Raw genomic sequence first — 17,532 nt, 5'->3', positions numbered from 1 at the left:
TCAGATTATACTACAAAGCTATAATAACCAAAACAGCATAGGACTTGCATAAAAACAAGACACACGGACCAATGGAAAAAAAAAGAGAAAATCCAGAAAGAAATCTATGCATTTACAGTAAACTCATTTTCAACAAAGGGGCTAAGAGCATACATTGGGGTAAGGACAATGTCTTCAATAAATGGTGCTGGGAAAACTAGATAGCCATATGCAAAAGAATGAAACTGGACCCCTAACTCTTGCCATATACAAAAATTAAATCAAAATGGATGGAAGATTTAAAGCTAAGACCTGAAACTATGAAAATACTAGAAGAAAATGTTGGGGAAACTCTCCAGGACATTGGTCTGGGCAAAGATTTCTTGAGTGAGACTCAAAAGCAGAGGTGACCAATGCAAAAACAGTACCTAAGTCCAGAAGAAGTATATTTACGTAGCTATTTCCTATTAATACCTGCCACCTATGGGCCAGGAGTTTTATAAAATCACTGCATGTTCTCACAGCCATGCTGCCTTCGTGTAGATAAGAAAATTCAGGTTCAGAGTTTGTATGTGATTCCTGGTGGTCTGACCCCAAAGGGTGTGCTTTTCTCTACTAGACTATTTTTTCTTTGAGCAAACACTGTTTTTGGTACTAAAATTTAGGACAGGACTTACTCATCTTCCAGGTTACTTTTGTGGAGGGTGGAATATAATCTGTGACCTTTCTGAAATTAGGTCTCCTGGTGCAATTAACTCCTCTACCAAGGTAGCTTCAGGATAGGCTTCAACCAGTGCTCTCTGCAACCCTTCAGAAAATGCCAGAATGGGATAAAAGAAAAGAACACTGAATAGGTAAAGTAGAGTTTTTATTTATTTATTTATTTTTGAGATGGAGTCTCTCTCTGTCGCTCAGGCTGGAGTGCAGTGGCGTGATCTCGGCTCACCGCAACCTCCGCCTCCCAGGTTCAAGTGATTCTCATGCCTCGGCCTCCTGAGTAGCTGTGATTACAGGTGTGCACCACCACGCCCAGCTAATTTTTGTATTTTTAGTAGACAGGTTTTCACCATGTTGCCAAGGCTGGTCTTGAACTCATGACCTCAGGTGATCCACCCGCCTCGCCCTCCCAAAGTATTGGGATTACAGGTGTGAGCTACCACATCTGGCCTAAAGTAGGGTTCTTACCATGTCAACTGAATTTCAGAGCAAGCTTCCTGGATCCTGCAGCTAATTTAAGGCTATTCAAAGATCCTAAGACTAGCATGAAGTCTAGCAGGCTGGAAGTCACAGTTTATGCACTAAAATCCTTTCAGAGATAAAAGTCCTACTTCTTTCTTCTGTGGTATGGATCTCTATGATGATATCCAAGTAAAAAACAAGCTGGGATGTTTTAAAAGCTGTCATTAGCTCATCCTCAGTGATGAACAAAACAAAACCAGCAAGCATCCTTTAAGAGAAAAACAGAATTAGATATGTTATGTAAAAAATAAAAGGACTCTGGTTCTATCAGAATAAAATTTGGAAAATTAACTGGTTACATAAAAAGAACACAATAGGGGAAGAAAGAGAAACACTTTAAGAAAACACTGTCCATGGTTATGAAAAGTACCTTACAACTGAATATGAAATGTGGTCCTCACTCCTGGTAAATATCTCAAAAGGGTGATACCTAGCCTGCCCCTAAATTGAACTCCTATTTTTCAAAATGAACTTAATATCTGCTTCCTCCTTCTGGATTTGAGTCCGCCAATATTAATTTCTCCTTCTAAGCAAAAGAGCTTAGCTAGTCTGCCCCTAAAATGAACTCTTATTTTTCAAAATGAACTTGGTATCTGCTTCCTCTTTCTGGATTTGAGTCAGTCAATATTAATTTTTCCTTCTAACCAAAATAGCTTTTTGTTAAACCCACATCTTCCCAGACCACAGATGTGTGTTTGTGAGTGACTATCAATTCAATCTCTTCTTAGGAGGATGAATTCAATTCATCCTCCTAAGAAGAGCTGGCCTTGGGAAAACTCCATCCATAGCTTAACTTTGAGGAAGCAAACCCCGATGATTAAAACATGTAACTGGAGACAGACAAAGAAAAGGTGCAAATGATTGTCTAGAAGGCATCAGGAGGAAAGCACCAGAAAAAAGGGGAGAGGGACTAAAAGTCCACTGCTTATAGATATATTCTGCAAGAATGAGAGTCCAAGAGATTAGGCTTCCACCTAAGCTGTGATGTTTTAAGGCACCTTCTTTCCCCTGGGGATTAAATCCCTTTCATCCCTATTCTCCCTTTGAGGCTACAGTGAGAGCCACCATATTGGTAGAAAGTGATTTGCCATCCTGTCCCCTTGACCTTGCAGCCACCACTGATTGGTCCAGGGGGCACCTGATCCCTAGGCTGGGTCAATCAGCCCTCTTCCCTGGGAATTTGAGAATTGAAATTGAGAAAAAGAGTCATTCTGTCAAGGTGGTTAAAATGAGAGTTGGTGGCCGCCATGTTTTACCATGTGGCTTGAGGAGCCAAGAGGACAGACTGGCAAAGATTGGGCAGAACAAAGCCAATGGATAAGAGAAATGTGGGAATGGAAGAGGAGAGTGGGTAACGTTCACCCAAGATTCCTGTGAGCCTGAGCGTTCCTTTAAAAAGAGAAATCAAGCTGGGCACAGTGGCTCACGTCTGTATTCCCAGCACTTTGGGAGGCTGAGGCGGGCAGATCACCTGAGGTAGGGAATTCAAGACCAGCCTGGCCAACGTGGCGAAACCCCATCTCTACAAAAATTAGCTGGGCGTGGTGGCTTGTGCCTGTAATCCCAAGCTACTCGGGAGGCTGAGGCAGAAGAATCACTTGAATCCGGGAGGCGGAGGTTTGAGTAAGCCGAGATCATGCCATTGCACTCCAGCCTGGGTGACAGAACAAGACTGTCTCAACAACAACAACAACAAAAATCAGATTCCACCATCACCACTTAAAGCCCTCCCAGGGCTCCCTGTGAAACTCCGTTCCAGGGTTTCTGAAGCCTTCAGGGTGTCCCTGCTGGCCTGTCGGCCCCAGTCCTGGTGCAGCTCTCCCCTGCACGGCTCAGACCTGCTTGCGGAGGATCACAGGGCATGGCAGGACCCAGGGCACCCACGATGGCTCCCACCCGGTGGAGCTGGCCACTATCCCTGGGTCTCTTGTCTCTGCACACAACAACCCTAGTTCATTGGGCATCATGCTGCTTGCTCCCTCAGGCCAGGACCCTGGAACGCTCAAGGTACATCATCTTCTGACCTGTTGTCCACCATTGCCTCCTAACTGGCTTCTCTCCAAAGTGAGCTTTTAAATAAAATGGTAAGGCCAGGTGCGGTAGCTCGTGCCTGTAATCCCAACACTTTCCAAGGCCAGTGTGGGCAGATCACTTGAGTCCAGGAGTTCGACAGGGAGAAACTTGGTCTCCACAAAAAATACAAACAAACAAACAAATAAATAAATAATTTTAGCCAGGCGTGGTGGTGCACGCCTATAGTCCCAGCTGCTTGGGAGGCTGAGGTGGGAGGATCACTTGAGCCTGGGAGGCAGAGGCTGCAGTGAGCCGAGATCGCGCCACTGCATTCCAGCCTCGGCAACGGAGACCCTGTATTTAAAAAAAAAAAAATATATAAATCCAGTCAGATTAGTTCCTTGCCCAGAGCCATCCAGTGGTTTTCCCATATGCTGGGAAGGAACTCCAGGGTCCTGACCACAGCCCACAGGGCCTACATGAGTTACTACCCCTATTATATCCACTTTTTCCTTCCCACTCCTGCCTCAGCCTCAGGAGTAGCTGGGATTACACGTGCACGCCACCATAACCGGGCAATTTTTTTTGTATTTTGTTAGTAGAGATGGGGTTTCATCATGTTGGCTAGGTTGGTCTCGAACTCCTGACCTCAGGTAATCTGCCCACCTCGGCCTCCCGAGGTGCTGGGATTACAGGTGTAAGCCACCACGCCGGCCCCTGCTTTAATTTTTAAATTCATCACCTGACCTCAAATTACAGAGCTATGTTGTCTCCTGCTAGAGTGTAAACTCTATGAGGGCAGGACCTGGACTACTTCACTGCAGTTCCCCCAGCTTCTACAACAGTGCCAGACACATAGCAGGTGCTCAACAGTGTTTTGTGAATGAGTGAAGAGCGTTTCGTGCTGAAGAAACACCACAGTCAGAGGCCCTGGGCCACCTCTGTTTAGGTGATCAGCTAAATGGAGCTGCCGTCCTGCCTGGTGACCAGCAGGACATGTCAGGGGCAGGTGAGGGAGGGGCAGGCACACTGGTACCCGCACTTCCATTTTGCCAATTCTTGTTGCAAGGCTGCTGCAGAGACACTCATTAGGTACAGCCTCATTAGGCTCAAAGCTCACATATAGGAAGAGAACAGATTTCTGAGAGGGAGTTAATTTAGGGCAGCCCGAACGCAGGACAACTCTTGCTTGAGTATTTCTTTCAGGTGGGAGACCTAATACTACCTGGAAACATTTTTGGAGTAATAAGTTTTCTTCCCTCATTTCCCCTGACTCTCCCATTTCCAGTGTTGAACCTTCATAGCACACTTCAATTACAAGAGCTATCTGGCAGACATAAGCTTATTCAATTAGTCACTCGCTCCCATAATAACCAGGTTGGATCATAAAGGGAGGGTTCTTTAATCAAAATCACACAGTACAGTAAACAAGAATGAGGAACCTCTTTATGTTCTGATGTGGGACAATCTCCAATAAGTCGTGTTAAGTGCAGAACAAAACCAAATTGCAGAACAATGGCAGCAGTGTGCTACCTTTTGGAAAAAAAAAAGAAGAAAAGAAAATATGTTTAGATTTGCTCGTATCTGCATAAAGAGACACTTGAAGGATGGTGCAGTAGATAAATCCATGGATTCAGGGGCTGGGCTGTGTGGATTTGACTCCCTATTCTACTGCATAGCTGTGTGACTGTGGGCAAATTACTTAACCTCTCTGTGCTTGTGCTTCCTCATTTGTTAAAAGGACAAAATAACAGCATTTGCTCAGAGCCTGTAAACAAGTTAATCTTCACAAAGCATTTAGAACAGTGTGTGTCCTGTTGTAAGTGGTAAATAAACATCATGATTATTACTGTTATTGATACAGGAGATAGAAATTATTTAGGCAGATAGTAAGGGTATAAGAGTCCTCCACAGAATTTCCCTTTTAACAAAAAGCAGGCCCCAAATAATTTCTTTTTTTTTAACAAAGAGCAGTCTGAAAAATCAAGCTGCAGACATAGATAAGCAAGCTGGAAGCTTGCACGGGTGAACACCGGCAGCTATGCCAGTAGAAAAGGGCTACGTAAGGGCCAGGTATGTTTAACATGGAGGCTCCACTCTTCCCTTTTCTTTGCCACCACATGTACAGTAAGGAAACAGGTAACATGGCGCTGGCCAGGTGGAGAACCAGCTGCATAATAAAAGATGAGTGTGGGGTGGCCAGCTTTTTCATGCCCTACGCAAATGACACACCTAGCCCTAAACAGTTTTTGGTGCCCTATGCAAATGACACACCTGGTTCAACCAATCTTTTGCATCCTATGTAAATCAGCCACTGCCTCCTCAAGCTCATCTATGAAACGCCTTGCATTCCACTGCGGAACCAGCAATCCATTTCTCTTGGACCCCTCTCTCTGCAGTAGAGAGAGCTCTTCTCTTTCTTTTGCTTATTAAACTTCCACTCTGAACCTCAGTATTTGTGTGTCTGTGTCTTAGTTTTCCGTGGCCGTGAGACAATGAATCTTGGGTATTTACTCCCGACACTGACGCCGGTTCATTATTATGTCTATCTTTCAGCGTGGTTATCTGTGTTACAGGGAGCTGGGAGCAGACAGTAGGCAAGAGTGGAAGAACTCTGTGTAACTTTTTATTATATGCAAATAAGTTATTTAAAACACTAAACTAATAATTGCCATTTAACAGTTAAAAGTCTCTTGCTTGCTACAAACGGATTTCAAGATCTGGCTTATTTTGAAGATCACTGGATTCATACTTTTTTGTGCTAATTGAGGGGGCTCCCTAGACACCCCGTTTTTCTATTTTTCACTGTGACTTTATCCCTCTGCCTAGCCTTTTAAACTTCTTACTCCACTGTGTCAGCAATAACAACAATAATAAATACAGTTATAATAAACATCATTTTTTGATCATTTACCACTTTACATATATTATCTCATTTAATCTTCAAGAGTTCTGTGAGGTATTAGTTCCATTTCACAGAGAGGGATGAAATCAGCTTGTCCAAAATTACAAAGCTAGAGAGGAATAGAGCCTGGATTCATTCCAAGGTGTAACCCCAAGTCTCCTATTCCAGAGTTTCTCAACTTTGTTAAAATTCGGAATCCTATGCTTTGCTCTAGACCTACAGAATGAGTCTCAGGTCAGGTGTGGGCGTTCTCCTGGGATGATCTCCAATAAGTAGTGTTAAGCACAGAACAAAAGCAACATGCTGATCAATGGCAGCAGCAGAGGGTCTGAGCATCTCGGACCCTCTGAAGCTTGAGGGTCACGATGACAAGCCTGTCCGCCCACTGCATAGGCCCTCTTGGCTCTGACCTTTCATTGCTGTCTCTGATCTTGTTTCAAGCCCCTCGCCTACTTCCAGAGCCCGTGGAAGTGGAGAAGTTGATGGAAGATGTTGGCCCCACATTCCTGCGTGGTGCCGATTCACACTCCTGTGTGGGGCGGAGAACACCAGCTCGCTCTACGGTATCAAACACCTCTCCAGCTGTGCACAGCCTTTTGGCTCCTTGGCTCTTGGCCAGGAGATGGAACCTGACATACCTCAGGAAGCACGGCCTCTGGAAGGTGCCCCTCTGCAGCAGTGAGGGTATGTTTAGGGCCACGGGGGCAATTTACAACTCTCCTTGGAACCTGCAAGGTCTCCCAGCAATGACAGCTGAGCTGAACATTAAACTGAAATTCCTTTAATGCCACCACCAAAATCCTTCCAGGAAATGCCCCAGCAGGCAGTGTCATCCTTAGAGTCTCCTTCCTTTGTAACAAACTGTGTAGAGTCCCCAGGGCAGCCTAGGTGTGAGCAGTAATTCACTCTCAGCACAGTCAGAGGAGACATGCTTTGTGATCTCAGTCCCAGCAGCGAATAAAAGAGTTACTGTCTGCTTGGAAATCAGCTGCTGGAGTCGAGCAGATCATCAGCTAAACAACTGCTATTGGACAGAAGAAAGGGCCTCAAGGGCTCCCAGGAGATTGTGCTAATTAATTAGCCAATGGCACAAAGAAGGCAACAGTCCATAGCTCAGTCCAGCAGGTTCTCCCAGGGGTGGGAGCTGGGGAGGGAAAAAGAAGGAAAATAAAATGCTTTCAAAGGTCCAGATTAGAAACTTCTTCAGCTGGCAATCATCCCCAAAGACATGATTTTCTAAAAGTGGCTGTTGTTGTTTCTCCAGGTTCCTAGGACCTCACTGCAGAAGATGCTGAAGCATGTGAGAACTGCTGTACCCCGCCAAACGGAGGGGCAGGAGGAAAAGGCCACTGAGATTCTTTCAAGTCCAGATCAACGGGTATGAGTCTTTCTTCCGAAGCTGATGAACGACACAAACGGTGGAGGAACCACTTCAGATATTTTTTAAGTCACCATGAAGAAGTATGAATATTTTTATAGGCTTATGCTTTACAAATTGAATTAACAATCATTATCCCACTGATTCTGCAAAGTACAGATGAGAGGCAAAGAAAGACAAGGCAAATAAAACTGGCCAGGGTAGTTTTTCCTCCAGAGTTTGTCGCTTCCCATTCTATCCATCCTCCTCTTTTTCCTCTCTTTGCTAACTGCTGATGCAACTACCTTTACTTTGGCCCCGTTTATATTCGGAAGACTTTTACTAAGATTACTTTGCGAAGAAACATAGGATTCTTGTTTTGGAACCTGCCATTAAGTGCAAAGTCCAAGATAAACCAGAGCAGTGAATTGAAAGTTCTAAATCCGCTTAAAAGCTTCTGTGTTCCACAATTCACTGCAGATTTAAAAAAAGAAACCTGGCTACTAAATCACTATGCTTAGAGCCAGACAAGCAAGATCACAACACACTACAATATCTTGGTAGAATGACTTATTAAGTGCACTTAAGTGTACACTAAAATGCAAAGGAAAGTTAACACAGCAGGTTGAACCCAGTGCTTCCTAACCATCCCATCTCTTTCTTCATGTTGAGCTTCTTCGCCAGTATGGGCAAGTACCACTATCTTCATTTCCAGATGTGTTCAGATAAGCATAAATCTCTGCTAGGAACACAAATAATGCCAGCATCAACTATCAGGAAGGAACCAGAGTGTCCTAACTTCTTAGGTAGAGAGCCATTTCCTGCAACTTCTAATTTCACAGTGTGAGGTCAACTCAGTCATTTTCACTACAACAGTCAAGAGTCAAAAAATTATAACCAAGCTCTCATGATTATTTAGATAAAAAGACATCCTTGAAGAGCCTACAGCAACTTGTATCAGAAAACGTTATAGGATAAAAATATTCTGCCTACTTTACAAAGAAGTGAAAAACCTTAGAAAGAGTACAATGGATTTTTACAATCCACTCCGGGTGCAAGTGTAATTTTCCCCATCACTGGAGTGGATAAATACAGGTTTTATCCTCTTATGGATCCCCTGGGCTACTCAAAATGTGAATTATGCCTTTCTATATTTGGAAAGGAATATAAGCATGCAAGAAGCCCACTGCGATTAATTTTCTAAAGCATCACCATGAATAGGATTCCCAGTAGCTCTATCTGCCTGCAGACATTCATCAGCATGAAAGTAAACACACCACCAGGCTCACATTTCCCCAGAGCTGTTTCATTCGGAACTAGAGCTCTGGTTTTCGTAGCCACTTTGTCTAAATATTTTTGGGATGATTCATTCATGGTCTCAACATCTCAACAGAGGGCATCCCCACAGTCCTAACATATTAAGGCACAGAGCAAGACAGAGAAGAAAAGAAAGAGTGCAGGTAGTAGTACCTAGTGTCTCCATCTGAAAACAGTCCCCTCTGCATCAGAACTAGGCTGTGCTCTGCGACGACAGGAAGTGAGTTTCCTTCTTCTCTGTAATAATAAAAACTCAACATGCTCGGAGCTCAGCAGGGGATAGAAGACTGGCACAGGCTGCCTGGCCCTGAAGGCCTGTGACTGAATCAGCAGTGAACTGCACGCTGGAGTTTTCCACAGGACCATTCAAACTCGGGCTGGGAAGGTCACACTGGCCTCTCCCTTCTCTGCTGACCGGCAGAAATGCCCCGGCTCCCCATTGTAGCATCCCCCAACCCTGGGATGGCTCCTGTGGAAAAAAGCAACTGTCTGTGAGCGTGGGGTCCAAAGGAAAAAAGAAAACAAAATTTCCATAAACATGCAGCCAGGAGCACAATCTTTAAGAGTGAAAAATTGGGAACGACAGGGGAATAGCTAAGCAAGAGACAGAGTATCAACAGAACAAACCATCATACAGTTCAAGTTGATGAGCATCACACATGGTCAACCCACCGAAGTCCCAAATCTACACCAGGCTGCAAAACGGCACTCACATGACGGCAAAACATGTCAAACTATATGTAAGTTAATCAACAAAAACAGGAAGTGAGTGTGTGGTGAATTAAAGAGTTCAAGTTCATTAGGTTATGTTTTTCCTTTAAAGGTACTCAAGTGAATAAAAATAATAGGAGACCACGGAAGCATACCAAAGCCCTTCATTTTTAAATGAGGCATACAAACATTTTTCAATGATCTTGCATAAAGTGAACGATCCAGGAGTTGCTGTATTTCCCCATCTCAACCCTCCAAATGCAACAAGGAAAATGCAAACACATAAAAACCAAACACTTATAAAGTGAACGGCTCAGCAACGCTTTTCTCCATTTCTTGGTTCAGGACCACAGTCTAGAAAGGGTATGAAGCTGATACAATGAGGTTATGACACCTGCTACCCTGCACAAGCCTCTTGATCACCTGCCATCCTCAGGTCTGTGAACAGGAGAGAAAATTCGCTCTATACATTTTTTTCTCTGAAAGTCAGTTGCAAAAATATAAACATGGGGAAGCAAACTCAGTTTAAAAGAGGCTAAGGAGAAGAATAGATCCCCCTCCCCAAAACATACCAACCTCCACATTTCCCTCTTTCCCCTAAAAAAAAAAAACAAAAAAACAAAACCAGTAGGGTCCCTGACAATAAAAATTGACAAATGACTTTAAAACAAATCATCCAGGGGGTAGAAAAGGCTGAATTGTCTTTAAATAGCCTAATAGACTGAATGGAGGATACAATACGTCTGTATTACGGCTGCAGGGTCCAGCATTAGAACAGCTAACATACTTCAGTCCTTAATCACTCCACCCATCTTTTCCCCTTAAAACTGACCATTGGCGGGCAGGGTGGCTCACGCCCATAATCCCAGCACTTTGGGAGGCTGAGGCAGGCAGATTACCTGATGTCAGGAGTTTGAGACCAGTCTAGCCAACATGGTGAAACCCTGTCTCTACTAAAAATACAAAAAAATTAGCCAGGAGTGGTGGCACGCGCCTATAATCCCAGCTACTCGGGAGGCTGAGGCACGAGAATTGCTTGAACCTGGGAGGTGGAGGTTGCAGGGAGGTGAGATCACACCACTGCACTCCAGCCTGGGCAACAGAGTGAGACTCTGTCTCAAAACAAAACAAACAAAATTCTCATCATCACAGATCCTTGAGAGAAAGAAAACCAGCAGCTCAGGGGTTAAACATGCAATGCCACGCTCACATTTCCTGTCTGTGATCACATGTTCATGTGAGAAGCAACTGGTTATGTTTTCATAGTACTTTTCTATTACTAGGCTTAATTTTTCTCTGCTAATAGTGTTCTAGGTTTCTATTACTGTGAAAAGCTGATGATTTACCTTACCTTTTCACTTTAATTTATCCCCTCTAGAAGAGCAATAACTGAAAAGAACTGGAGGTATCCCACACATGCAGAAGCTACAGCTTTGCAGTTTCTAGACCTCTGCCCACGTTTTGGTGTCCTGTGCTTGCTGCTCCTGAAACGTACACTTGGCCCTCTTCACTGGAAAGCCCACTGCTCGCCCTGCTGGGACAGCGTCCCTATGCCATCCGTCCGCCGCTGGAAAGCCCATGGCTCGCCCTGCTGGGACAGCTGTCCCTATGCCATCCCTCCGCCACTGGAAAGCCCACTGCTCGCCCTGCTGGGACAGCTGTCCCTATACCATCCCTCTGCCAAAGTGAAGCAGAGAAGAAGCCGTGTACACGAAGAAAATTTGCTGACCCACTTGGGTGGAAGGAAAAAAGCACTCTGTGGGTGGATTAATGTGGATGAACAGCCTGGTGCCACCAAAGTCGTGGGTGCCACCTGACGCTGGGGGGAAGCACTGGACAAGTTAGGCCTGTGTCTCGGTCCTGGTCCTCTTGGGTGGCTACGTATCACCTCTCTGGTCTTCCTTTCCTTGATCATAATGAAGGGAATTAGGTAAGTTCTCCCAGTGTTAAAATCATGATTCTATGATTTCTTCCTCAGCAGGCACATTCAGGTAATTCAGGAAGCTGACGGTTACTCTGATTCTCATAACAATCCCGTGGGCAGAGATCAATATCTCTATTATGCAGATAAGGAAGCTGAGGCACAGGAAGGTCACGTGACTTGCTATAGTCCCTCAAATAGTAAGTGGGAGGAAGGGCCAGGATCTGAACCCCGGTTGTCTGACTCAACTTTGCTACTTCTATTATTTTACATAGTGTCATCACTGCTTCAAATACAGCATTAAATCTTTATCATTCTCTATGTACAAATTTGGGAGACAGGCATCCAATTTTCTGGAAGCTGAATTTGAATCCTTCCTTTATTGAAAAGTAAACGCCCTGCATAAATTTCAATGTTCATATTTTCTTTAGTGGGCCCAGATCTGGCCCCTTTCAATCAATGGGCATCATGGCACAATTTTTGCTTAACTTGGAATGTATTCTTTGGAATGAATTAAGGTCTGCCTTCTTTGTTCTTGTCTCTAATTCCAAAGCATTGCGTCTTCTAAAACAGTTTTTTAACCCCTCTCCAAATGAAAAAGGATGCCACTTGAATCTTCCTTATAATTATACAAATAACACATTTTTTATAGGGATGTGTTTACATATCTTCACTCACTGGTGAAGAAGCCCAAGATGCCTCCAGGAGAGAGAATTATAACCAAGTGGCATTTATTAACCACCCTCCAGGGGGCAAAGGCTGGAAAACAGAGATGATGCCAAGGGTAAAACCCATGTGATCCGAGCCAGTGCCTGGAAAATAGGGAGTTTAGCAAATGTTGAGAATAGATCTTTTCTCCTGCTCTCTTCCACTGGGAAACCAGAAGGGTAAACAAACTCCTCAGCAGAGACACACGAGACTCCACGGAGGCCCAGGGGTAATCTGAGACTGCGGGAAACCTGTTTTCCCCTTTTTTTCCTTTTCTTGAATTCTGACCTTGAGCAGAGCTCAGAAGGGAGCCTCTGATTTCTCAGGTTCCTAGGAGAGAATATCTTCTAGGCTGCTGGCCAGGGCTTGGTCTTGGACCTACAATGGCTCCTTGTGGCCTATGCTATTAAGACCTAACTCACCCTGTCCAGCAGATTTTGCCCACTTTCCTAGGCAGAAGCCACATCGGTGGCCTTGCCTGACCATCATCTCCACCCTGGCCCTGAGGTTCCACCGGTCCCCTGATACCCCCCCTGCTTTTCCTGACAACTCAAGTTTCAGCTCCTCCTCCAGTCCTTCCTTATCCTTCCCTCCTCAACCTCCCACAGCTCCAAGGCTATGTCCTACAATTCAGCAATTAGTTATTATTTTCTGTAGCTGTGCCTAGGCATTTGGTTAAAACTTTGACTTTATATCCAGGGCAAGGACTATAGGGTTATATTTACATCAAGACAGAACCCTGTTCAAGTGCAAGGAGGACCCTAGACCCTGTTCTATAAACTGTGGTTCATAATGAATATGGACTGGCCCCACAATGATTTCCTCTAAATAACTAAAAATCTGAATGCTTTACAAATTTTAAGATATTTGGATTTTTTTTGTGCTTTTCTGTGTTTTCCAAATGTTCTTCAATAATCAGAAAATTACAAAATCACTAAATATTTTTTTAAAGAACAGGCTGGATTTTTAGTGCCTATGGACTGGAAATAAAACGATGCTGTCCTGCCATCTAGTGGCTGTGAGGCAAAAAAAAAGGCCAAGACAAGTCTAGGGGCTTGAAACTGTTAGTATTTGAAACCTGAGTCCCACCCTGGCTTTTTGGGGAAGGGGATATTTCTTTCTGCAACCCAGGATCCTTCATGTCTCCAGGGGAGGGCAGGTGAGCAGTCTGGTCCTTGATTAGAGTCAGGTCAGAGATGCTACTGCCTCCTCCACTGCCTAACAGTGATTCTGAGCTCCTTAGAGAAGGGAGCTGGAATAGGGTGGGATGGGATGGGAGGGAAGGTTGTAGGGGTGTGGGGGGGGGGCGGAGCACCTTCAGCTACAACGAACATCCAGAGGAGCCAGTGGCACTCCCATGCATCGCACCCCACATCTGTCATTGGGTCACATGGTGCTCCTGAAACTGCAGAGAGGACCTCGGGATACTTACTGTTTATTTTAATGACGTCAACATCAGTCATGCTATGAAAAAGGTAGAGTGGACCAGAATGTAGACCCTCCAGGCTTATTTATCTTTCCAAAGAACTTAAAGCTGAGGGGTGGGGGGGACATACCACAGACCACATCTATTTTTGCAAAATAAAAGGTCTTTTAGGCAGAAGTCTTCCAGCAAGGTACTCAAAAACTTTCCCAGGGGTGCACAGTCTTAAGGGAAGAATAAATGGCCAGGTCCTCAACTGCCACTTGTATTTTTTTCTAAAACTGGTCTGTCAGAGATACCACTTTTCCCTTGCCCATTCTCCCATCTCCCACTGTGTAAAAGAAGGGCAGACTTTCTCACCCACCCTGAACCTCACTTACAGGGTGATGAAACCTCCAGGTCATCCACAAAGAGACAAACAAGATGTATCTGTGAGTCTCCTTGAATCAGGCACTGTGGTGGGCTTCTTACTTATACATGAGTCTGATAAAGGGGAAGTATGTCACTAGTAATGGGGGTACGTGGGACCACACTGGGCTGTTCCAAATTCAAATATAGGCACAACTCAGATATACCGTCGGCTCAGTTTCAGACCACCACAGGAAAGCAAATATTGCAATAAATGGAGTCGCCTGACTTTTTTGGTTTCCCAGTGGGTAGAAAAGTTATGTTCACACTGTACTCCAGTCTGAGTATACGCAACAGCATTATGTCCAAAAAATACATATCTTAATTAAAACATACTTTATTGCTAAAAAATGCTAACAATCATTTGAGCCTTCAGTGGGTTGTAACTGTTGGGCTGGTGGAGGATCTGGCCTCAGCACTGATGCCTGCTGATTAATCTGGTGGTGGCTGCCGAAAATTAGGGTGGCTGTGACAATTTCTTAAAATAAGACAGCAATGAAGTTCGCTGCATCAAATGATTCTTCCTTTTATGAACAATTTCTCTGTAGCATACCATTCTGTTTGATAGCATTTTATTCACAGTACAACTTCATTCAAAATTCAAGTCAACAGAAAGGTGATTGTCCCCTCGCCTGTCACGCAATGCATGTTCCTGGCGAACCTGGCACTAAACCATTCAAAGATGACCTGCTTCTGGGTTGGGGTTTCGTATGTAGCAGAGCAGCTCCCTCACTGCGATCTATTGAAAGTCAGCCCTCAACGAAAGTGTTCGTTAAAAAAAAAAAAAAAAAAAAAAAAGGAAAAAGTTTAAAAGAAAACAAACAAAAAAAGAGTTAAAACACATACAAAATTCATGTCAATCCTCTCAAACTCTGTGGCTGCTTTACCAACTAAGTTTATGTAATATTCTAAATGTATATTTCAAAAATGTATCAGCACATTCACCAGCAGTAGATTCCATCTCAAGAAACCACTTACTTGGCTTATTCATAAGAAGAAACTCCTTATCTGTTCAAGTTTTATCATAAGATTGCAGCAATTCAGCCACATCTTCAGGTCTACTTCTAATTCTAGTTCTCTTGCTATTTCCACCATGATTGGCACACCTGCAGTTACTTCCTCCATTGAAGGAAGTCTTGAACCCATCAAAGTCATCCATGAGGGTTGGAATCAACTTCTTCCAAACTCCTATTAATGTTCAGACATCCTCCCATAAATCGCAAATGTTCTTACTGGCATCTAGAATGGTGCATCCTTTCCAGAAGGTTTTCAATTAACTGCCCAGATCCATCAGCGGTAACACTATAGCTATAATGTTATTCCCAACATTATTTATGGCAACTATAGCCTTATAAAATGTATTTCTGAAATAATATTTCTCAAATAGTAAGACATTATTTCTTAAGTAATAAGACTTGGAAGTTGAAATTACTCCTTGATCTATGAGCTGCAGAATGGATGTTTTAGCAGGCATAAAAACATTAATCTCCTTCTGCATCTTCACCAGAGCTCCTGGGTGACCAGGTGCAATGTCAATGAAAGGAATCTTATTTTAATGAGCAGTAGGTCTCAACAGTGTGCTTAAAATATCCAGTAAACCATGCTATAAACAGGTGTCATCCAGGCTTTGTTCTTCCATTTATAGGGCACAGAAAGAGTATAGATTTAGCATAATTCTTAAGGATTTTCAGACTGGTCAATGAGCATTGGCTTCGGCTTAAAGTCACCAGTCTGCCTAACAAGAGAGTCAAGCATCCTTATAAAGCACTGAAGTCAGGCATTGACTTCTCTTCTCTAGCTAGGACAATCTTAGATGGCATCTTCTTCCTATAGAAGGCTGCTTTGTCTACATTGAGAATCTGTTGTTTAGTGTAGCCACTCTCACCAATGATCTTAGCTAGATCTTCTGGATAATTTGCTGTAGCTTCTACATCAGCACTTGCTGCTTCATGTTGAACTTCTATTTTATGGAGAAGGCTTCTTTCCTTAAACCTCATGGATCAACCATTGCTAGCTTCAAACTTTTCTTTTGCAGCTTTCTCACCTCTCTCAGCCTTCAAAGAACTGCAGAGTTAGGGCCTTGCTCTGGCTTAGGCTTTAGCTTAAGAAAAAGTTGGGGCTGGTTTGATCTTCTATCCAGACCACTCAAACTTTCTCCAAGTCAGCAATAATTAGCAATAATGTTATTATCCGTGTGTTCACTGGAATAGCACTTTTAATTTCCTTCAAGAACTTTTCCTTTGCATTCACAACTTGGCTGTTTGGCACAGGAGGCCTAGCTTTCAGCCTGTCTTGGCTTCAACATGCCTTCACTAAGTTGAATCACTTCTAGCTTTTGATTTAAAGTGACAGACATATCACTCTTCCTTTCAATAGACACCTAGAGGCCATTGTAGGGCTATTAATTGGCCCAATTTCAATATTGCCTCAGGGAATAGGGAGGCCCAAGGAGAAGGAGAGAGACAGGAATGGCCAGTGGGTGGAACAGTCAGAACACACTTAACATTTATCATTTAAGTCTGCTGTCTTATACAGGTGTGCTTTGTGGCACCCCAAAGCAATTACAATAGTAACATCAAAGATCACTCATCACATTTACAGAGATTATCCTGGATTTGAACAACGACAACAAAAAAGATTACTGATCACAGATCATAGTAACAGATATAACACTAATTAAAAAACTTAAAATGTTGTGAGAATTACCAAAATGTAACATAGAGATACAAAGTGAGCATATGCTGTTGGAAAAATGGAGCCAATAGGTTTGCAGGGTTGCCACAAACCTTCCATTTATTAAAAATGCAATATCTGGGCCAGGTGTGGTGGCTCATGCCTGTAATCCCAGCACTTTGGGAGGCCAAGCGGGGGGTGGATCACTTAAGGTCAGGAGTTCAAGACCAGCCTGGGAAACATGGCAAAATCCTGTCTTTACTAAAATACATATAAAAATTAGCTAGGCGTGGTGGCATACGCCTGTAGTCTGGCTACTTGGGAGGCTGAGGCAGGAGAATCGCTTGTACCTGGGAGGCGGAGGCTGCAGTGAGCCAAGATCACACCACTGCACTCCAGCCTGGACAACAGAGTGAGACTCTGTCTCAAAAAAAAAAAAAAAAGAAAGAAAGAAAAGCAGTATCTGCAAAGCACAGTAAAACAAAGTATGCTTGTATATACTGAAAAATGTGTTAAAATATATATATATAATAGAATGAAATGGAAGTGATGATGGTTCTTATTTAATGTCTTTGCCTTTTTCGTTCCCTTATTTCCAAAGATTTTTTATTATTGAGCTGGAGTCCTATGTATTGGTCTGTTCTCAAACTGCTATGAAGATGCTACCTGAGATTGGGTAATTTATAAAGAAAAGAGGTTTAATTGACTCACAGTTCCACATGGCTGGGGAAGCATGGTGGAAGGGGGAGCAGACATGTCTTACATGGCAGCAGGAGAGACAGAGTGTGTGTAGGAGGAACCGTCAAACACATAAAACCATCAGATCTCATGAGAACTCACTATCACCAGAACAGCATGGGGGAACCACCCCCATGATC

General features: G+C 43.6%; 1 protein-coding gene and 1 long non-coding RNA gene across 11 annotated transcripts in view; one reads left to right on the top strand and one right to left on the bottom strand.

The window, feature by feature from the left end:
- CASP7 (caspase 7) overlaps positions 1 to 17,532 on the bottom strand; it is a 51,716-nt gene that overhangs the window by 12,500 nt on the left and 21,684 nt on the right. The window contains exon 1 of one of the 10 annotated variants that reach the window (NM_001267058.2): positions 8,964 to 9,032. The exons of the other annotated variants lie outside the window; for them this stretch is intronic. Within the exon in view, the coding sequence (NP_001253987.1) occupies positions 8,964 to 8,998 (35 nt within the window). The 5' untranslated portion in view covers positions 8,999 to 9,032. Of the gene's footprint in view, positions 1 to 8,963; positions 9,033 to 17,532 lie in introns of those variants that run through there. 10 annotated transcript variants of the gene reach the window in all.
- LOC124902505 (uncharacterized) lies at positions 6,561 to 7,729 on the top strand. Its single transcript, XR_007062294.1, has 2 exons — positions 6,561 to 6,820; positions 7,401 to 7,729. It is a non-coding gene; the product is annotated as an uncharacterized LOC124902505 (long non-coding RNA).

The sequence above is a fragment of the Homo sapiens genome, chromosome 10, assembly GCF_000001405.40.
Source record: "Homo sapiens chromosome 10, GRCh38.p14 Primary Assembly".
NCBI classification, from domain to species: domain Eukaryota; kingdom Metazoa; phylum Chordata; class Mammalia; order Primates; family Hominidae; genus Homo; species Homo sapiens.
This window is presented reverse-complemented; position numbering and strand designations above follow the sequence as displayed.